The sequence below is a fragment of the Homo sapiens genome, chromosome 11, assembly GCF_000001405.40.
Source record: "Homo sapiens chromosome 11, GRCh38.p14 Primary Assembly".
Taxonomy (NCBI): domain Eukaryota; kingdom Metazoa; phylum Chordata; class Mammalia; order Primates; family Hominidae; genus Homo; species Homo sapiens.
Window position 1 is genome coordinate 45,183,596 of NC_000011.10, and position 22,927 is coordinate 45,206,522.

A 22,927-nucleotide genomic window follows, 5' to 3' on the forward strand; every position below is an offset into this window, starting at 1 on the left:
GAAGACAGGCATTGAACAAGCAGGTACACATGTGATATCAGTTGCAACACAGGGTACTATCAATAGATGGGTTGCAAAGATGAGGAAGAGGGGTTTTCAAGGGTATGAGGAGGAAGGGTTACCAAAGCAACTTTAAGGAATCATGCTTGAGCTACTAGACAGAGATAGGGGAGGGTGGGGTAATAGAGAAAAGCATTCTAGAGGGTAAGAAGATCCTTATTCACTACAAAAACACTTCTTGAGTATCTCCTTTGTGCCAGGCACTGGGCTGGCCCTGGAAATACAGTGGTGGGCCAGATAAGGCAATCAGATAAATCCTGCCTTCATGGAGTTCTCTGTGGGAAAGATAGAATTAATCAAAGACTAAGACAAATCCATGTCAAATAATAACTCTGAGGGTGATGGAGAAACAGTGAGACTGGGAAAAAGTGAACAACCAGGGGAGGTAATATGGGTAGAGGTCAGAGAAGCCTTCCTGCTAGTTGAGCTGTGATTGAAGGAGGTGAATGCCTACCAGGTGAAGATTGGAGAGGTGCATCCAGATGCCTTGGACAGCAAGAGCAAAGGCCCTGTGGCAGGAGAGCATGGTACATCTGAGCTACTGGATGAAGGTCAGTGTGCCTGGAGTGCAGCACACACAGGGGCCTGGAGATGATGGAGGCTTGATTTTGTAGGGCCCAGTGGACCAAATTAGGACTTCTGTCCTTTTAATAATGTAGGAGTTGGGGGAGTGACTTGGTCACATTTATGTTTTGAAAAGATGACTTTGGCTACAGCCTGGAGAACTGATTGAGCTCAGGGGTGCTGGTCAAGAATGGGTACCCACACCCCTTTCCCCAGGTAGAGCGTGTGGGAGTTCTGTAGTCGGCAATGGTGGAAGACTGGGCTAGGGTTGGGGCAAAGACTTGGAGCCAAACGAACTGCTTTGTGAACTGTATCAGAGAGGAGAGCTCTGACTTAGACATAGACTAACTGGCCTAAGGAAGGGAGCAGGAGGTATCAAGGACATCTGCAGTCTCCCAACAGGTTGTTAATGGTGTCTTTCTCTGAGAAATGGAGGAGGCTGGAAGGGGACTGGGTTGAGGGAAAAATCATGATTTGGGTTTGGGACTTGTTGAGTTTGGAGTAACAACAAGATATCCAAGTGGTGATGTCAAGTAGGCAGTTGGATATATGGGTCCGAAGCTTGGAGAGGAGGCTTGGAGATGTTGCTTAGTGAGTCACCTGTGCATGGGTGGTCAGTGGGGGTGTGGGTGTGGAGCGCAGAACCTAGGGAGAATGTGCTGAGTGAAAGGTGGAAAGGCCTGTGAGCAAGCTTTGAGGGACTTTAGCAGTTCATGGTCTAGAAGGGGAGCTTGATCCTGCAAAGGAGACAGAGAAGGTTTGCAGCCAGAGAGGTAGGAGGGAAACCAGGAGAGTGGGTGACCTGGAAGTCAGGGGAGAAGAGAGGTTCTCCAGGCCACAATGTCTGTCAGTGCCAAGTGCTGCTGAGAAACCAGCCAGAAAGACTGAAAAGTGTCCCGTGGATTTACTACCAGGGATGCCATGGGTGACTTTAGCAAGAGCTATTGTAGAAAGCAGTGGGTCTGAACCTGAGGCAATTTTGCAGCCCAGCCTCCTGTCCCCGGACATTGGGCAATGTCTGGAGACCTTTTGGTTGTCACAGCTCAGCATAGGGGTAAGCTGCTGGCATCTAGCAGTTGGAGACCAGGATTACTGTAAACATTTTACAATGGACAGAATAGTCCCTCATAACAAAGAGTTATCTGCAGAAACCCTGCTGGAGAGTGATGGGGGTGGAACCTGATTAGCATGGAGGTGACCAGGCATAGTCATTTCCTAGAAGTTTGGTTACAGATAAGATCAGAAGTGGAGGAGAAAGATAAGAGTGAGGTGGGAGGGTGTGTGGTCAAGAGAGTTTGTTCATTAGAAAGACTTTAGCATCCTCAAAAAGCCAAGGGAGGGGTTCTGCTGAAGTGCTTGAGTGTAGAGTAGAGATAAGGCATGATTCCTAACCTTTTACATCACCTCAGAGGGTTCACATGGAGATACTGGACAAAAAAGGGGGTGGATCAGCATCATTTCTGTCCCTACAGGGTTAGCCCAGAGGATTAGAGCAGATAGAGATAGTTAGGTATAGTAGGCCACATAATGTCCCCCCAAAAATGTCCCTGTCCTAATCCCTAGAACTTGTAAATATACTATCTTCATGGCAGAAGGGATTTTTTGCACATGTGATTAAGTTAAGGATCTTGAGATGGGAGCGATGATCTTGGATTACCTGGGTGGGCCCAGTGTAATCACAGGCATCTTAATAAGAGGGAGGTGGGAGGCTCAGAGTCAGAGAGAAAGGGATTGGAGGATGCTGCTCTGCTGGCCTTCGAGATAGAGTAAGGAGCCGGGAGTCAAGGGATGCAGGCAGCTTCTGGAAGCCAGAAAAGTCAAAGAAACACATTAATTCCCAGAGCTTCCTGAAAGAATGTGGCCCTGCCAACACCTTGATTGTAGGACTTCTGACCTCTAGAACTATAAGGTAATACATGTGTGTTGTTTTAAGCCACTGTGGTTTTGGCAGTTTATTGGCAATTTATTACAGGAGCAACAGGGAACTCATATAGGAGGCTTTTATGTTTGTGGGGGGACATCTACTAAAATATGCAGGGAGGTGGATTGAGGTGGCCTGAAATCGAGGAGATCAGAGAAGGTGAGTTCTGCTTGGGATGAGTAGAGTTCCTGGTGCCCGTGAGATGCTCAGGGGAGCTGTCCAGAGCACTCTGGTGTGTGTGGCTCTGCAGTAGAGAGATGCTGGGATGACAGGGAAAACTAAGTATATAAATTAATGCAGCTGAAGCCCGGAGAAGGGAGGGCATTTCCTACAGAAAAGGTGCTTGGGGAGGAGAGAAGAGGCATTTCCTTTGGAATATGAGTTTGAGGAATCCTTGGAGGGAGAGGAGTTGAGGAGGCATGGAGCAGTAGGAGGAGACAGTAGGAAGTCTCCTTGGCCCCCTTGGCAGGAGCAGTCTCATGGGCGGAAGCCAGATTGCCATGGATTAAGGTGTCAGTGGGAGGTGAGGAAAGGGAACTAGCAAGGGTGCATGGCTTGTTTTAAAAGTCTGGTTGCCCACTGAGCAATTATTATATGCCAGGTGCATACTGGACACCTCTGGCATCTCATACTCTTCCTCGAAACAGTCCATAGGGTGGGGGTTGCTGCCCCTCTTGTTCTGACGAGGAAACACAGGACTCCCACAGCTGGTCCACAGTAGACCTTGGGTTCCTTCAAAGATAGTGTCCCTCCACCATGTGAGGACTTCCCTTATTGGGAGACATTGCTAATGGGGTGGAGCAGTTAATAGCTACCCTGAGCCAGTTTTGGTTATGTGTCCAGGTTCAACCCAACCTCACATACACAGAGCAACTCCAGAGCACTAGGTCCTGAGCAGGGAGCTCTGGGGATAACAGGGCTGCGTGAGGTTTGCTGTCTGTTCTTATGGAGCCTGTGGTTCAGTTATGAGGAGCAGGGGCCATGGTGGATAGGAGGGGAGGAAGCTTATTCCCAACCAAGTAATACAGAGGCAGAGTATTGCTTGGTGATCGCAGTGCTGCAGAGGGCTGTAGCAGTAGGGAGAGGGGGATTGGTTTCAACAGGGCAGATTGGAGATGGATCTTGTCTTGAAGGATGGATAGACGTTCAACAGAGGAAGCCTATGGCTTCACAGCCTATTGGAAAATTGCAGGAGAAAAAATCTAAGACTGTGCCCAAGGAATGGCTATTAGGATCCCTTTCTGCAGCTGCTAGAGTCTGTACCTTGGGACAGCCCAGCCATGGAAAGTTGAGAATCTTTAAAGCAGATGAACTTTCCCAGGTTGGCTGCCTGGCACAGGTCTACGGTGAGAAGAAAGGAGGAATAGAAGGCCCTGGTGTTTGCAACCTGGTTCTAGACTAGCTCCACCAGTCACGAGTAGGCGTGGCCCCAGTTCAGGAGGTGGGACTGGTGGCCTGGAGGTTATTCCCTCTGAGGTTTCTTCCTAGGGCCTTAGCTGCAGCCAGCAGCCAGCAGCCAGCAGCCAGCAGATGGGCACAGGGAGGCAGTGGTTAGAGGCTGCAAGGCCATATGGGGGCTTTGACCTTTGGGAACCCAAGAGGTGAGAGACATTGAAGGCCTAGAGCCACCAGATGCTTAAAGTGGCTCAAGAAAAGTTCGTGTGTGTGTGTGTGTGTGTGTGTGTGTGTGTGTATGTGTGTGTTGGGCATGGGTTTTTGGCCTCCACTGGGGAAAAGCAGGCGTGAAGAACGGCCCTGCCTGCTCTGCTGATGGGTAGGCCAAATGGTGGGAGAGTACGGGGAAGGTGGGGTGAACAGTGGTGCTGATTTTTGGACCAAGATCTAGAAGCCCCATATCCTAAATAAACTGCCCTCATTTGTCAAGTCCTGTCCCAAAGCCATACTGGATATCATCTTCTTTGGACCTTCTGCCTGCCTGCAAAAGCTCTGGCCCCCATTCAGCACAACACATTTCCCTCCACACTCCCTCCCTCAGTATATGCACTCTACTCTGTAGAAATGATGGTGGTGGTCATGACAAGCATAGCTGTTAATGTTTATTGAGCACTTACTATGTGTCTGGGTCTGTGCTCAGTGCTTTATAGCATAATCTCATCTGATCCTAACAACGCTCCTGTGACATAGGTATTATTCCATCCATTGCACAGCTGAGAAAACTGAGGCCTGGAGAGGATGAGTCATTCTGCACAAAGCTAAACAGCTGGTGAGTCACTGAGCTGGGGTTCAAACCTGTGCAGTCTGACTCCAGAACCTACCCTCTCATTCCGCCTCTTGGCCCTCTAGCCTCCCTTACTTAGCACGCCTCTTCTTACCTCCTTGCCTGGGTAGACTCTATTCTACTCATTCTTCCTGCCCAGCACAAGTTCCCTCTTTGTCTTCGCTTAACCTGGAGGAAAGCTGGCCTGACTTTGGGCAGAGTGGTACAAGGCATGGGCCTGGGTCATAATGGACCGAATGGCCATTTCCACTCCACAACTCTCCTTCGTGGCCTGGCTGACTTGGCAGGAGTTGGACACTCACCTCTGCCTGTCTAGGAAAGACATGCCCCTTGCTCTGCTTTTTCATCCTATTGGAAATTATAAATGCTGTGATTCATTGCCAAGATCACCCAGGCTACCCTCAGACACTGCAGGCCAGGAACCATGCTGCTGGCACGAGGCATTTGGGGGTGCTGCGCAGCCATGTGGTTTGGTAAAGAGGCAGAAGACAGAGGAAGCCAACATGGGATTTTTTGTTTGTTTGTTTTTTTGTTTGTTTGAGATGGAGTTTTGCTCTCGTTACCCAGGCTGGAGTGCAGTGGTACGATCTCAGCTCACCGCAACCTCTGCCTCCTGGGTTCAAGCAATTCTCCTGCCTCAGCCTCCCTAGTAGCTGGGATTACAGGCATGCGCCACCACATCCAGCTAATTTTGTATTTTTAGTAGAGACGGGGTTTCTCCATGTTGGCCAGGCTGGTCTTGAACTCCCGACCTCAAGTGATCCGCCCACCTCAGCCTCCCAAAGTGCTGGGATTACAGGCTTGAGCCACCACACCCGGCCGCGAGCACAGGGTTTCTATGTAAGTTTTTCGTTCAGACCTTGGCTTGTTCCAGAAGGGATTTAGGGTAGCCTAGCAGTATACATAAAATATACCACAATGGCATATTAAAACTGGGAGAGAGAAAGAAGAAAGGAAAACAAGGGTGGAGACCCTAAGTGAAGCCAGGAATGAAGCTAAAAATGCATACTATAATGACCTCTATCTGCACTTTTAGCTATACAGGCTCCAAATCTGGCAGCCACTGGGAGAGTAGCTGGTACATTCTGTCCATAATGTGAAAAGGACCAGGGAGCTCCTGAGGAGGTCCGCCCTTCTGGGCGCTGATACTGGATAGGTTTCCCAGGGGCCCTTATAAAGAGGACACTGTGTGGTGGAATTGTCCACTCCATGCGAGGCAGCCTCCCCACCTGCCAGACTGCTACCGTTCTGGGGAGAAGCAGATATGAAATGGTGTTTTAGTGTTTCCCATTTCAGCTTTTATAGTAAATTGACAATTTCTTTTAAAACTTGAAAGTGGACGTGCCAGAGCTCATGGCACATCCTCCAGAAAAGCCTCTGAGAGACCCTGAGTGCTTAGCTAGATGAAATAAGCAGACAGTTGCAGTGCTATGACATGTGGTGGGGACAGGCAGGTGTTACCAAGTTCGGGGATGCTCAGAGAAGTGAGGAGTAACAGGTTTGTTCGAGAAGAAAGAAAAGGGGCGTTTGAGACAGGGTAGTCGTGCAGTGTGTGAGCATGCACGAGCAGGTGCTTTTCATGCTTGCTTGTTAATTTCTACTCTTTATTTTGAAAGTTGCAAACTCGGTTGAAAAGTTGCAAGAATAGTGTAATGAATACCCTCACACCTGCCTGTAGATTCATCTATTGCTAACACTTTATACCCATTGCTTTATCTCACTTTCTACACTTACACCACCTACACACACACGTGCACACACACACACACTTTTTTTTTTTTTCTTGAGATGGAGTCTCACTCTATCACCCAGGCTGGAGTGCAGTGGCATGATCTCAGCTCACTGCAACCTCCACCTCACAGGTTCAAGCAATTTTACCACCCCAGCCTCCCAAGTAGCTGGGACTACAGGCGCACACCACCATGTCTGGTTAATTTTTTTGTATTTTAGTAGAGATGGGGTTTTACTGTGTTACCCAGGCTGGTCGCAAACTCCTGAGCTCAGGCAATCTGCCCGCCTCGGCTTCCCAAAGTGCTGGGATTACAGGCATGAGCCACCGCGCCCGGCCATACATTCTTTTTTTTTTTTTTTCTGAACTGTTTGAGATATAGTTACAGAGACATCATGACACTTTACCTCAAAACACTTCAGCCAAATTCCTAAGAGCAAGGTGTTCTTCTATACCAGGGTGAGCAAACTTTTTTTTTTTTAAAGGCTACCTGGTAAATACTTTCGGCTTTATGGACTGTGCAGCCTCTGTCATAACTACTCCACTCTGCCTTTGCACTGCAAAAGCAGTCATAGATGATACATGAATGAATGAGTGTTGCTATGTTTCAATAAAACTTTATATGAACACTGAAATTTGAATTGCATATTATTTCAAATGAAATTTGAAAGTCATAGAAATAAAATTACATAAAAATAATTTTTTAGTCATTAAAAAAATGCAACATGATTCTTAGCTTGCAGGCTGTATAAAAACAGACAATGGGGGCTGGATTTGACCTACAGCCATAGTTGGCTGACCCCTGAGCTATTTAACCACCATATAATGATTACACCCAGGAAATTTGACATGGATACAATACTGTCTCAGCTATAGTTCGTATTCAGATTTCCCTAATTGCCATTAGTAACATCCTTTGTGGTTTTTTCCCCATCCAGGACCCGTGCAGGTATCACACATTGCATTTAGTTGTCACATCTCATTAGTCTCCTTTATTCTAGAAAAGTCTCCCCTGTATTGTTTTTTTTCTTCATGATATTGATACTTTTGAAAAGTTCAGGCTAGTTGTTTGCATAATGTTCCACAGTTTAGATTTGTCTGATTGTTTCTTCATGGTGGATTCCGATTACAGCTTTTTGGCACAAGCAATGTTAGGTCTTTCTCACGGTGTGCCATCAGGAGGCACCTGGTGGCAGTTTGTCTTGTCTTTTACTCAATGGTTTTAACAACTATTGATGATTCTTGTCTGTATCAATTATTATTCATGGTTAAAATGATTTTTCTATTTTTTCTCTTCTACATTTATTATTTGACATTCTTCTGTTTAAAAAAGATAGTGCTCAACCTTCACCCCCACTCAATCCTCATTTAAAGCTATTTTTAGTATTCATATGAACATGAATTCTTTTTTTATTCAATGTGTTGGAATCCATGTCTGTCATTATTCATTTTGATGTTTAAATTGCCCTAGATTTGGCCAGTGGGAACGCTTTCAAACTGGCTCCTTGTTCTTTTGACACATCCCCATCATTATTTTAGCACTTTTTCCTTACTTTCTGGCACAAAAAGATATTCCCACTGTCTCTCGTAGGAGCTGTGATTCCTTTCAGTGGGAAATGGTGTTTAGGAGCCAAAATCTCTGAATGGTAGGTGTGCAATTGCTACTGGGGTGTCCTTGCTTCTAAGCCAAACTAGGTTTTATTATTATTATTATTATTACTATTATTATTATTTTATTTTACTTTGAGTTCTGGGATACATGTGCAGAACCTGCAGGTTTATTACATTGGTATACATGTGCCATGGTGGTTTGCTGTACCTAACAACCCGTCATCTAGGTTTTAAGCCTCCCATGCATTAGGTATTTGTCTTAATGCTCTCCCTCCCCTCACCTCCCACCCCCGCAACAGGCCGCCGTGTGTGACTTTCCCCTCCCTGTGTCCATGTGTTCTCATTAGCCGAACTAGGTTTTGAGGGAGGGATGGATGAGTTGATGCAAATGTCCTACCATGTCAGAAACTGAGGGAACGCAGCATAGCAGTGGTCATGGAATTTACAAAGGCCCTGGGGCACACACGTAACAGTCAGGTGGGGATGGTATTAATATTAGGGTATAACAGAGGTACCAAGTGTGTTTAGAAGGAAAAGTGGAAGATGAGACTAGAGTGAAAGTCACTTTTCTTGTGTTCTCAGATGCAATGGATCATAAAACACTGTTGATTCAATATCAGCTTTTCCAGGAGTAAAAATGAATACCTCAATCCAAAGATTCTGAATATCAGAAGCATTAAATGGGCTCAGCTTGTGTAGCTGTTTTATAAGTGCTGGTAGTTTAGTTATTGAATCACAAACCAAACCAAAGATTTCCCCAGGAAAATGTAATATGCTCATGAACCAGTTCTGGCTGGAGCCAAGTCTGTACATCTATTGTATCAGAGCAAAAGTAGAACATGAAAAATTATTCTGAACCTGTATAATATTTCCAGTACAGACCAGCTCCTAACCTGACCTCCTCTATTTCTTGGCTTTCCAGTCCATTCTACTGTAGCTGTGTTTCTCACACCTGAACAGTGTTAAGTTCAGGTGATTTTTAATGTTCCTGGAGTCTTCATGTTACATTAATTTTATTTTCATGTTACTTAAAAAGGTATAAACATATAGCTTGGTAAACACAAAGTGTCTTGTACTTATAACTTTTAAACAACTGTAAAGCCAAAACAAGTTTACACATATAAAATTAACTACAAAAACCTCAACATAATACACATTAACAAAGTCATTCTAATGGGATAGTTGATGATGTGTCACTGAAACAAAATTGCTATTTATAAGGCGAATATCGTAGTGACTACTGAGACACAGCAAGAGTCTTTGGAGTTTGGAATGCCTGTACTTTTGTGTTCAGTGTGATATCTTTACTTTCCTACTATTTGTCTCTATTTGAAACACTGGGAAATCTTTTATTTATGTATGTATTTATTTATTTAGAAATGGGAACTTACTCTATTGCCCAGGCTGAGTGCAATGGCAAGATCATAGCTCACTATAACCTCAAACTCCTGGACTTAAGCCATCCTCCTGCCTCAGCCTCCAGAGTAGCTGCGATCACAGGAGTGTGCCATCACACCCATCTATCTTTGTTATTGCAACTGCCATGATGTGTCTTGGCCTTTGCTTTGCCGGAGTGCAACATTTACATATTAAGTTTATATCTGTTCTTTTTTTGTTGGCTCATAGCAAGTAGTCATAATTGGGGTTGTATGGTCAACTGTTGGGGTAAAACAAGCTACCTAAAAACCCAGTGGCATAGAACAAGGGTCAGCAAGTGTTCTCTGTAAAGGGCTAGATAGTGAATATTTTAGGTTTTGCACACTATACAGTGTCTGTCTCAATGACTCAATTCTGCCATCATGGTGCAAAAGCAGCCATCAGTGTGCCATGTTCCAATAAAAGTTTATTTATATATAGTGAAGTTTGAATTCCATATAATTTTCACATCATGAAATATTGTTTTTCTCTTGATTTATTTTCAACAATTTAAAAATCATTCTTAGCCTGGTGGGCCATGCAGAAACAGGTGGTGGGCTGGAATTAGCCCACAAGCCGTAGTTTGCTGAGCCCTGACATAGAACGACAATCATTTACTCTTGCTCACGTATCTGCTGGTCAGCTGCCGTTCCTCATTTCTACTTGTGTATCTGCTGGTTGGCTGCAGTTTGGCTGACATAGCTGGGCTTGCTGGGCTGCCCGGACTCCAGCTGCTGGGGGTTCTTGGCTTCTCTCTCTGGAGCCAGGTCTGCTCCAGACACTTGGAGCATGTCTGTTCTGGGCCCCAGCTGAAGGAGCAAGGGCTCCCTGGGGGAGCTTTTCTACATTTTGAGGCTTTGCTCATATCATGTTTGCTAATATCTCATTGGCTACATCAATTTCACAGTTGAACGTAAGGTCAAGGAGCAAAGAAGTGCAGGCTGCCTGTTAAACAGTCTAGTTCAGAATCCTGTGGCAAAAGGTGGTACGGATGGCTGAAGAGCTGGGGCCAGGGATTCAATCTGACACGGATGCCACCTCAGCCATAAATGCAGTACTCTTGCGGGTGCAGAAATCTCATGAGGATTCCCGCATATTGATTTTTTTAAATGAAAACATGGAATTAAAAATTCTTAGAGAAAACATTCAGATCCTGAGAATATATCCAAAGACCCTAGTTTGAGAGACACTAATTTTTAGTAAACTTCCTGGCTTTGCCGCAGAAGATTTGGGGTTTCTTGGTGTTTGAAAATTCCCCAAGGAGAGCTCTTGTTGAACTAGGCTCTCTGAACCTAATTCAGCACTCCAAACCCCAGTGGGTCCTCCAAAGATGCTAGTTAGGGTTGATGAACAACAATAACAACAATAATAGTAGTAACAATAATAGCTGCTGTTCACTGAGTACTAAATGATTTGTATATCTCACAACAGTACTGTGGGATAGTTATTATCTTCTGTTTTTTTTTTTTTTTTTTTTTTTTGAGACGGAGTCTCGCTCTGTCGCCCAGGCTGGAGTGCAGTGGCGGGATCTCGGCTCACTGCAAGCTCCGCCTCCCGGGTTCACGCCATTCTCCTGCCTCAGCCTCCCAAGTAGCTGGGACTACAGGCGCCCGCCACTACGCCCGGCTAATTTTTTGTATTTTTAGTAGAGACGGGGTTTCACCGTTTTAGCCGGGATGGTCTCGATCTCCTGACCTCGTGATCCGCCCGCCTCGGCCTCCCAAAGTGCTGGGATTACAGGCGTGAGCCACCGCGCCCGGCCAGTTATTATCTTCTTTTTAAAGATTGGGAAACTGGGGCTTAAAAGGCCATGTTACTTATCTAAGGTTATACAGGTCATTTATGGGGCCAGGACTTTTAACTAGATCTCCAGTTCATCATCTCCAGGCCTCAGATGTGAATATCTAGAATGCCTTCCTGGCATCCCATTGCTGGTCTTCCCACTTGCATGGAAACCTGTTTCTTTAGGGGGTCACTGTTCAAGCATAGGATATGTAGGACGTAAGATCGTTCCCTTCTCCTTGTTTGATTGGTAACAATGAACCTTTGGCAGATTTTATTTTTTAACAGCTTTATTGAGATGTAATTCACATACTATATAATTCACCCATTTAAAATGTATGATTCAATGATTTTGACTATATTCACAGGTATGTGCAACCATCATCACAGTCGGTTTCATCAAATCCTGTATCCTCTGGCTGTCGTTCCCCTCTTCCAATCCCCTTAACCCACATCTTCAACCCCTCACCCCCACCCATCCCTAGGCAACCACTAATCTACTTTCTGACCCTATGGATTTTTCTATTCTGGCCTTTCATATAAATGAGATTATGTAGTATGTGGTCTTTGTGACAAGCTTCTTTCACTTCGCTTCATGTTTTCAAGGTTCATCTGTGTGGCAGCATGTATCATTCCCTTTTACTTTCTTTCTTTTTTTTTTTCTTTTTTTATCTGAGACATCATCTCTCTCTGTCACCCAGGCTGGAATGCAGTAGCTCGATCTTGGCTCACTGCAGCCTCTGTCTCCCAGGTTCAAGTGATCCTCCTGCCTCAGCCTCCCAAGTAGCTGGGATTACAGGTGTACACCACTATGCCCAGCTCTTTTTTTTTTGTACTTTAGTAGAGATGAGGTTTTGCATGTTGGCCAGGCTCGTCTTGAACTCCTAGCCTCAAGTGATCCACCCACCTTGGCCTCCCAAAGTGCTGGGGTTACAGGCATGAGACACCACACCTGGCCGTATCATTCCCTTTTATGGCCTAAAAATGTTCCATATATTGTTGATCTCTTCATCCATTGATGGACAGTCTCTGCCTTTTGGCTATTATGAATAATGCTGCTGTAAACATTTGTGTACAAGTTTCCATGCGGACACGTGTTTTTATTTCTTTCGGGCATAATACCTAGGAGTGGAATGGTAACTCAAGGTTTCATCATTTGAAGATCTGCCAGGCTGTTTTCCAAAGCAGCTGATCAATTTTGCTTTCCCACCAGTTGTATATGAGGGCTCTGATTTCTCCACATTCTTGTCAACCCTTGTTTTTCTCTGACTTTTTTATTCTAGCCATCCTAGTGGATGTGAAGTGATACCTCATTGTGAAGCATGAGGGTTTTGCTCTGCCTTTTTTCTATCTCTTGTTCATTTCAGTGGTTATTTGGGGAGAGCTACCCAGGATGGATGCGCCGGTTGTGTACTTAACAGCTCCATGGGGTGCTTTTCATGTCAGCCCTGTTAACTACGTTCTTCTGCCAGGTTAACTTGGAAGACTCTTCCAATCTGCAGCATGATAATTAAAGTGTATTTCTATCTGATTTCTCTCTGGCTCATTCCAGTTTACATTTTTGCTGCCCCCTAGATAGGCAGCAAACTCCTGATCCAGATACTCCTGGATCTCTCTCTCACCCTTGCCCAAGACCATTCATAAAAAGGCATAACTAAGAGATGGGATTGAGGCCAGTCTGCTTGACAGCTGCTTCTCTAGTTCTTCCCCAAGGGTCCAAACTAGTACTCAGAATGCTATTGCCTTTCACCAGGAGCCTGCCTCCTTACCAAGGAGAGCAAGGCTGTGTGTGGTCAGGGTAGCGGGTGGTTGGTCCTGAGGCTGGTCCATAGTCCTGGCACCTTTTACAGGCAGAAAAGAAGGACTTGTGAAGGGAAGAGCTGTCTGAGTTGGTTATAGGCTCTGTTCCTGGATTCCGATCCTGGCTCTACCACCTGCGAGAAATGTGTCTTTGGGCTGCTCACCTATTCTCTCGGAGCTCCAGTGGTTTTATCCATAAAATGAGGATGCACAGTCTAATGGAACACACCCCTATGAGTTGTTGTAAATACTAATGCTTGTTGCATGCCTAGTACTTAGCATGTGATGAGCAGATCACAGCCAGCTTTAGTATCCACAGTTATCATCAGATGGGTTTCAGGAATGGTTGAGGGTGGGAGGTGAAATCAAAGTGTATAAAACCTGGATGTGGAATTTAGGATTGTTTGTCAACATGCCTCATTAACTAGGTCTCCAGAGTCTTTTTAAGCAGTAAAAAGAAGGAAATTCTGCCATTTGCAACAACATGGGTAAACCTGGAGTACATTATGCTAAGTGAAGTAAGCCAGACACGGGACAAATACTACCTGATACCAGTTATAGGAGGAATCTGAAATAGTCAAATTCATAGAGACAGAGAGTAGAATGGTGGTTTCCAGTGGCTGGGAAAGAGGGAAATAGGGAAATATTAGTCCAAGGGTATAAAGTTTCAGTTATGCAAGATGAGTAAGTCCCAGAGATCTACTGTACAGCATAGAGCCTATAGTTTACTGTATTGCATGCTTAAAAATTTGCTAAAAGGGTAGATCTTATGTTAAGTATTATCACAATAATAATAATAATAAGAGCAGGAGGAATCTTTTGGAGGTAATGGATATGTTTATATCATAGTTTGTGGCGACGGTTTGACAGGTGTACACTTATTTCCAAACTCATCAAGTTAGATATGTTAAATACATACAGCTTTTTGTATGCCAGTCATACCTCAAAAAGCGGTCTAAACCGAAAAGAAATTTGAAAAAAGGACGAGTTCATGTCCTTTGTAGGGACATGGATGAAGTTGGAAACCATCATTCTGAGCAAACTATCGCAAGGACAGAAAACCAAACACTGCATGTTCTCACTCATAGGTGGGAATTGAACAATGAGAACACTTGGACACGGGGTGGGGAACATCACACACCAGGGCCTGTCGTGGGGTGCGGGGAAGGGGGAGGGATAGCATTAGGAGATATACCTAATGTAAATGACGAGTTAACGGGTGCAGCACACCAACATGGCACATGTATACATATGTAACAAACCTGCATGTTGTGCACATGTACCCTAGAACTTAAAGTATAATAATAATAATAAAAGGAAGTTTTGGATTAATAAAAGGAAGTTCTCATTTCCTTATCAGTTAAATTAGGGCAGATGGGTTAAATCATGGTTCTTGAGCTTTTTTGAATCACCTAGGAAGTTATACTCACGTGCCAATGTTCACAAAATGTTGCACACATTTTAAGGGATGCCCCCTTTCCCAGACACCAGGTTAGAAACCTAGAGCATGGATAATCTCAGATGCCCTCATCTAGCTTAAGTATTCTTCACTCCATGTCTGTGGCCATAGCAGAGGCCAGAGTTCAAGTTCAAGTTCAGGTTATCTCTATCTCTCAGGTCTTCAGTTGGCTGGGCTGGGGAGTAGCTAGAGAAAAGAAGTGATGCCATCTGCCTCCTGGGGCTTGGGAGAGGAGCATTTGAGGTATGCCAAAGTGCTTCATCAACTGTGAATGGCTTCACCAGTCATTCTTGTAACTACTTTGCTCTATGAAGAAATGCAGGATTGAATTATGAATGCTTTATGGATTCAATGAATTCCTGGAAAGTTGCAAACAAATCAGGTTTTTGAAAATCCATCTCTGCAGCATCTGGTCATGACACCATTTAGAGGAGCCCAACAGTGAATCTTCGACTGGGGCAGACAGACATTCTGTTGCAAAGCAGAGCATTCTTCCCTATTAAAATGCCAACCTGCAGATAGCAGATTTGCTCAGAGGCAAAGCTGGAAGTTCAGAGAGGGGCCCAGAAGAGTCCTGGTTGATTCTGGGTTTCAGGAATGGTTGAGGGTGGTTAATGGAGTCATTAGGAAAATCTTGGGGCTAACATCCATTGCTCTACAAAGTGGTTAAAGCATGGACTGTACTGTCAGAGACCCAAGTTTAAACTCCAGCTTCCCGTGTGGAAAATTCCTTTGTGGCCTCAGGCAGGTTACCAACAGCCCTCAGCCTCAGTTTTCCAATCTGTAAAAGGAGGATAATCATAGTAGCTGTGAGAATTAATAGTGTGTCAAAGCACTTGACATAGTGAAGGTACTCCATAAGTGGTAGCTGTTAATGAGGCTTTATTTTTATTGTCTTTATTAATTATTACCATGGTCTAAAATAGCATGTGGATCCACCTGGACCATGCTTCGCTCAGGGGGCCAAACTCCATGCTTTTATGTTATTTTTATGAGCATCTCTCAGTCTTCATTTTAGACAGAACTTTGAGGTCATTTAGGACAGATTTCCACTGAGTGAGGAAGTCCTTTTTTCAGCCTCCCTGCTAGCAAATCATCCCCTGGTTGAACACTCCCATTAACAGGAAGCTCACCACCTCACAGGGTTCTTGTCCTATCTTAGGACTCTTCTGCATGTTAGACCATCACTTTTTGTGCTGAGTTCAGGCCTGTATCCCTCTAGATGCATGCGCGTTCTAACCATCCTGTCCCCACGACATGGTCGTCCTTCCCACATCTGATGATGATGGCTCTGCTTTCTCAGGCCTCTTCTTCTCCAGGCTAAGGGAGCCTCTCACCATGCAGGTTCCCCAGGTTATCAGCCTGGTTCCGGGTTATCAAAGGCCTTGTACCACAATGCTCAGAGCTTCTGGGCTGGTCCAAAGTGCTGAGTTCAGAGGGACCAAGGAGTTGACCTTGAGGGATAAGGCAAGGGAAGTCACTGGGAGACCAGTCTTCTGGGGGGCTTGTCCTGAGCATCTGGCCCTGCTGTCATTCCTGGACCCATGTCAGTCCCAGAATAGGAAGCCCACAGCCTGCTCTCTACTCAGGATGGCCTGGGCTCATCAGTGGCATGTAACGTGGTCCACAGGCCCTGCGAGATCCTGCCTGCCCTGCACCCTCTGCCTAGGGCACCATCTCTCTCTTCTCTAAGATCTCAGCTTAGACTCCATGTCCCCAGAAAAGGTCCTCAGTAGATTCCCAGGTCCAGGGCTGCAGCTCAGAGATCCCATAATCCCACATAATTCTCCACCATGGGACTGGCCATGCCATATCACAGTGGCCTCTCTTCTGCGTCCCGCTAGGCTGTGAGCTTTCTAAGAGCAAAGACACTCTCTGCCTGGGTCAACATTTTATCCCCAGAGCCTGTCACTGTGGCCTCTCCCTCCATGACATTTGTTGGTTGAATGAATGAATGAGTGAATAAATGCTTGATATGAGACAATCCCAATTGGTGGGAAAGATAAGCCAAAAACACCTGTCAGAAAAGCTCTAGACCTGAACCCAGCAGACAGTGGTCTCAGGCGGTTCCTATGTCCTTCACAGCCCTCACCCAGTCCTCTCTGTCCAGATGAAACTGCCAAGACTGATTACAACTCAGTGTTGAACCACAGGCCTCCCACCACCCCAAATTAGTAATTAATATTTGAACTCTTAATAATCCCGATTATGATCACAGTGCTAACAGTGACTGTTCACTGAGTGTCTTCCACTTCCATTATGACAGCAGTGCTACAAGGTTGGTTTTTATCCAATTTTATAGATAAGGAAACTGAGGCATGGTCAGCAAAGATCTGCCCAAGGCCACTCAGCTTGTGTGCAGTGAAGCTGAAATTCTAGCCAATTCCTCTGGCTCCATGGCTCTTACTACCCTCCATGTGCTCCTACTACTGGCTGTAGGAACTAGAGATGCTTCTCTTTTCCCCCAGGAGACAGGGGAGCAATCAGAAATGATAATGTAGGGGGAGTAGTGTTATGATAAAATCCAGGGTTCTCTGAGATTCCAGGGGAGGGTCCCTGCAGACTGGAGCATCACTTGGGGAAACTGCCATGGAAGGGGAAGCTTGAGTTGCATGTTTTCTCTTTTTAGTTTTCTGAGATTTTTAAAACACAAAGGCAGTACAGTCTTATAGACAAATTAAGCAAAAGCATCCCTGCTTCCCTCTTTCCTCCCCTCCAGAGTAATGAGAGTTGAGATTTTGATGTGTATCTCCTAGACTATCTATGCTCATGTAAACATGCATAGTGGTGTGCTGGTAGATGTTTACAACTGATGGTGATGGTGATGGTGATGGTGAGGCAATGTGCCAATTTCCATGGTGTAAATGCTCCCCCCATGGCTGATTTCAAGCTACTAGCATGAAATCACTGAATGTGCAATTGGGAAGAAATATGCAATCGCAACTATTGTATGGTATTTCTACTCTGCAGCTACAGTAGAGGCCAGTACCCTAGAGAGCATAGAAAATCATCAGTCAAATGTAGTAAAATAATTGGGAATGGTTAAGTTTTGAGTATTTATTGCCTTTTAAAAATATATCATTTATTGAATTGTAAGTTTATATCATTTAGTTTTTCAATAATGGCTGTGTTTGACAACTGGTTCACAAAATTCCTGAAAATTTAACAGTTGGCTCTCAGTCAACATAAGCTGGCTCCAGCATAGCACTCATTTCATTTTTACTAAAATCTTAACATTTTATAATTTTTTCTTCTTTCTTCCTTCCTGCCTTCCTTCCTTTCTTGTTTCTTTCCTTCCTTCTTTCCTTCTTTCTTTCTTCTTTTCTTTTCTTTTAGAAACAGGATCTTGCTTTGTCACCCGGGCTTGAGTACAGTGGCACAATCATGGGTTACTGCAGCCTCAAACTCTTGGGCTTAAGCAATCCTCCTGCCTCAGCCTCCTGAGTATCTGGGACCACAGGCGTGCACTACCACACTTGGCTAATTTTTTAAAAAATTCTTTGTAGAGAGGCTGGGCGCAGTGGCTCATGCCTGTAATCCCAGCACTTTGGGAGGCCGAGGTGGGCGGATCACGAGGTCAGGAGATCAAGACCATCCTGGCTAACACGGTGAAACGCTGTCTCTACTAAAAAAAAACACAAAAAAAATTAGTCAGGCATGGTGGCAGGCACCCATAGTCCCAGCTACTTGGGAGGCTGAGTCAGGAGAATGGCGTGAACCTGGGAGGCGGAGCTTGCAGTGAGCCGAGGTGCACCACTGCACTCCAGCCTGGGTGATGGAGCGAGACTCTGTCTCAAAAAAAAAAAATTCTTTGTAGAGACAGGGTCTCGCTATGTTGCCCAGGCTTGTCTCAAACTCCTGGCCTCAAGCAATTCTCTGGCCTCAGCCTCCCAAAGTGATGGGAGTACAGGTGTGAGCATCACACTTAACCAATTTTTTTCTCTTTAACTTGCTTTTTACTTAAAAGGCTCTTTTTCCCATCATTCTTTCATTCAACCAGTATTCCACCATGTGCCATGCCCTCCCTGCGTTAGGAACCAGGGCCACCATTGTGATCAGGGCAGCCACGTGCTTTGCACTCATTAGCTTACGGTCTAGCCAGGGAGGCAGTCAGTTACCAAATCGACAAATAGATATCAACAAAATGCTCACTGCAATTAGGGCTCTTAAGGGAAGTTACAGGATGATGTAACAGAGATAATGCCATGATAGACCAGGGATGAGGTATGGCCAGGAAGAACTTCCTTTAGGGTCAAGGCTAGGAGAGGCTTCTTCTGTCAAACTCACATAATCTGAGACCCAAAAGCTAAGAAGGGACCACATATTCAAAGCTTAGTGGGAAAAAATTGAAAAAGGATATGTTCACTTGGGTGCCATTTCTGTAAACTTTACACACATGCAAACAGTCCTGTATGTTGCTCTTTGAAAAGTCCTTGTGTCATAAAAATGGGAAGGCTTCCCACCATCTCTAGGATGGTGGTTACTCTTGGAGGGAGGAAAGGAAAGAGAAGAAGTTGGAGGCAGAGAGGGTCTTCCACTGCATCTCAGCATTTTCTTGAAGCAAAAGGAGAGAGAGGCCTGAGACAAATATAACTCGTGTTAATTTTTCTTGGCTTTAGCTGATGGGCACAGGGTTGTCAGCTGCATTCTTCTTTATAATTTCTGAATGCTTGAAATATTTCATGATTATTGTTATTTTTAAGGGTAGATAAAAGAGGCTCTAGGCTCACCCTCAGGGCATCAAGGCTGCAGAAAAGTGAAAAGGAAGTGAGAGGCCCAGGGTAAGTTCGGGGGCAGGCCTGTAGGGTATGAAGGCTGTGGCCATAAATATGAGTTTTATTGTAAGTGCAGTGGATGCCATTTTGAGCTGGTGCGGGACATGATCTGATTTACATTGATAAAGGGCTTCTCTGCTGCTTTGAAGAGAACGATGGAGGCTTATGAATGGCACTAGGTTAGGTAGGAGTCTAGGCATGGTGACTATCCATCTGTTTCCCATCTCCCAGGAGTTCTCCCAGGCTCTGCTTCACCAAGTCTTCAGGGGACCAACCCTGATCTAGCTCATGTGTCAAAACTTATCAAGTTGTACCTTATATGTCAATGATGCCTCAATAAAGCTGTTAGAAAGGAAAAAGAAGGAACATGTCACTATGAAACAGAAAGAGGCAGGATGTATAAAAGGGTGGACCTGAAAAAAAAACTAATTAAAAATTCTGGGAATGAAAAATATTCATCAAAATAAAGGTACTCATTAAAAAAAAAAACAAAGAAAGTTGGAAAAACCTCAGTAGATGGGAGAAACCCCGGATTAGACACAGCCAAAGAGATAATTAGTGGACTGGAAGAGAGCTCTGAGATATTTTTCCAGAGAGTGCCCAGAATAATAAAGAGAAAAATATGGAAGAGTAGTTAAAAGACATGAAGGATATATTGAGCTACTCCCATAATTTTTTTTTTTTTTTGAGATGGAGTCTTGCTGTGTCACCCAGGCTGGAGTGCAGTGGTGCCATCTTGACTCACTGCAAGCTCCGCCTCCCGGGTTCACACCATTCTCCTGCCTCAGCCTCCCAAGTAGCTGGGACTACAGGTGCCCGCCACCACACCCAGCTAATTTTTTTTGCCATACGTGTTTAACAGAAATTGTACTGAAAGAGAATGGAGAAAATGGCCGAGAAGCTGTATTCAAAAGCCTAATGACTGAGAATTTTCCAGAATTGAAAAGGATATGAGTCTTGGAGTTGAAAGGTGTTCATCAAGTAGTAAGGAGAATTTCAGGAAAGTAAATCTTCACTTCAAAACCACATAGCAAAACTGCAGAAAATCAAGAGTAAAAGGAAAGTCTTAAAATTTACCACAGACAGATTATCCACAAAAGAACAACATTAGACTGACAGCTGTTGCTTTTGCGCCGATGGCAGTCTTTTTAGCAGTCTTCAGAGTGCTGAAAGAAAATAAAACTTAGCCTAGAATTTCATACCCAGCTGAACTCTGATTAAAGAGTGATGATGAAATGAAAGAGAAACCAGCCAGCTTCAAACCCTGAGGCTCTTGAACATTTAGAGGTTGGGGAGAGGAGGAACCCTCTCAAATCACATATATTCAGTCATCCAGCAGTGGCCTCTGTCTCCCACAGAAACTGTAAGGAGAGAAGGATTGGTTTAGCCTTTGTAGTTGCAGTGCGAGGCCAGTGGAAAAGCCCCTTGTCAGCCATGTTGCTGAGTATTCCATCAAGACAGAGGAGGGAGATGGTCCCATCTGCTTCCCATCTTCCAGGAATTCAAAACACCTCTGAAGGGCTTTGTGTGTCTAGGAGAATAGGATCTCCAGTGTCTCTAGAAGAATGGGAATGGGTGGAGGGCAGGTAGCAGAGATTCTGAACCCAGCCTGCATTTCAGTTCTGTAGCAGTGGTGACATTTCAGGGGGAGGGGGAGGGAGCAGGTGGGACCAGGCCCTGGGCCCTGGTTGGGAAGGAGCCCAGGGACATGAGAACCCCTCTAGAATGGCCCATCCTAGACTCTTTCTCTTTCTTCCAGATTGTGGACAAGAACAACCGCTATAAGTCCATAGATGGCTCAGACGAGACCAAAGCCAACTGGATGAGGTGAGCCCTGCTCTGCTGATGTCCCGGGGGTCTTGCCTGGCCTCTGGAAAGGAGCCAAGGGAGTGTGTTGGACCTGTGGGAGCTCCAGTGGTGGAGACTTCTGGAGGCTGCCGTTTGCAGGGTTTGGATGCATCTAGCTCTGAAGGACCCACCTTTTCCCCTAGGCCTCCATCAGGGGGCTCTAGAGGACGGCGTGTGGTCAGGCCGTTGGGATGCAGGGACCGCTCGGGCTGCTCACTTGCCAGTGTGTCTGGAGGTCCTGGGCCCCAGGCTCCTGGCAGCATTCCTAGGGAGGAGGAGGAGACTGTCCCCCACCTAGGACTGTGACACCTCAGAGCAGGCTCCTGCAGGGGTGGTGTGAGAATCGTCCCAGTGCAGCCCCAGCAGTTGTTTAAACAGCCTCCATGGAAGAAAGGGCTCTGACAAAGTCTTCAGCTCAGTTTTTGACAGTGTTGCTGCCTATGTTTGAGTACTTTGAAGTGTCAACTTTACCCTGTTCCGGTGTTTGGGACAGAATTTTGCACCAGAAGTTTTCTTAAATGCCAACCAGAGGAGGCAGGAGACTGGCCCCAGGCAGGGTCACCCAGGGATGGCTGAGCTGAGCCCAGAACCATGGGTCCAGCGTGATGCTGATGGTCTGTGCCATGTGCGAGGGACTCTGCCTGGTGGGGTTTGTGGACAGGGGTGGGAGATCTGACATGCCTTGTTGCCTGCTTGGTGGCCTCTCTCTGGGACCTAGGAGCACTGGCTGGAGATTTGGATCTGGGTGGGAGGGGAAGGAAGCCTCAGATGTCTGGAGTCAGGGGCACAGCCACACCATGGGCCTGGGGCCCTCTGCCGGCATTTGCACAGTTTTCTGACCCATGAGGCCTTGAGGCTGATGGTGGGATTGTACTTGGAGAGAGGGCAACTTCCTAAAAAGGAGTGTGCTGTCTTAAACTCGGAGACTTTCTAAGCAAATGAGGAGAAGCAGGTTTGAGGCGTAGAGTATGTGATGAGGGCTCCTGTGTCCTTCCCAGTGGCTCCACTGCCCACCTATACTCCTATCAGAGAGTGGCTGAGCAGCAGTTCACACCTCCCAGATTACTTTAGCGTTCGCCCTCTTATGGGTTAGGGAAGGTGTTCTCATTGCCGTTTGATGGGTGCAGAACAGAGGCTCCAGAGACCAGCGGGCCCCCTGCCTTGCAGTGTGGAGAATAGCACCGACTGCCCCCAACCTCCTTGGACACAGCTGATCCGACACTGCCCTGAAAGTGGCCCCAGGGAGGTGGCTTGACACCCTGACTGCCTTCTCTTCTCACTGCCACGGGGTCCAGGTCAGCTGAGCACTTACAGTTCATCACCTGTGTACTGAGCACCTAGTTTGAGTCAGACTGTGAAATGGGTACCAGGGTGGATCACCCAGCCCTGCCCCACCACACCCCATGCCCCACCCCCGCTGGCCCTTCCCGGGCTCACACCTCCTACCACAGAGGTGACTTTCCAGTGTAGTTTTTGCACCGAGGCACAATGTGCTGCAGAGGCCCAGATGAAAGAGGAGGGGTTCGTTGACATGGGCCTTCAAAGGGGCCAGGATTGTGTCTGGGGACACTGGGTTGTGGTGTCTAGTCAGGCTGTTGGGCGGCTGCTCAGTTTGGACCCCAAGCCTGTGCTGCTGTGCTGCCTGCCCTGTGGCTGCAGCCTGGCTCCAGGCAAGCAGGGGAGACCGTGCGTGTGTCCACTTGGGAATCAGGCTTTCTGTGCT

General features: G+C 45.9%; 1 protein-coding gene across 14 annotated transcripts in view; it reads left to right on the forward strand.

Moving 5' to 3' along the window:
- PRDM11 (PR/SET domain 11) overlaps positions 1–22,927 on the forward strand; it is a 140,951-nt gene that overhangs the window by 89,437 nt on the left and 28,587 nt on the right. For 13 of the 14 annotated variants that reach the window (NM_001359633.2, NM_001384648.1, XM_011520225.3 and 10 more), the window contains one exon: positions 21,116–21,183. In NM_001359633.2, the coding sequence (NP_001346562.2) occupies positions 21,116–21,183 (68 nt within the window). Of the gene's footprint in view, positions 1–4,735; positions 4,770–21,115; positions 21,184–22,927 lie in introns of those variants that run through there. The other variant, XM_011520226.3, reaches the window with a different exon arrangement.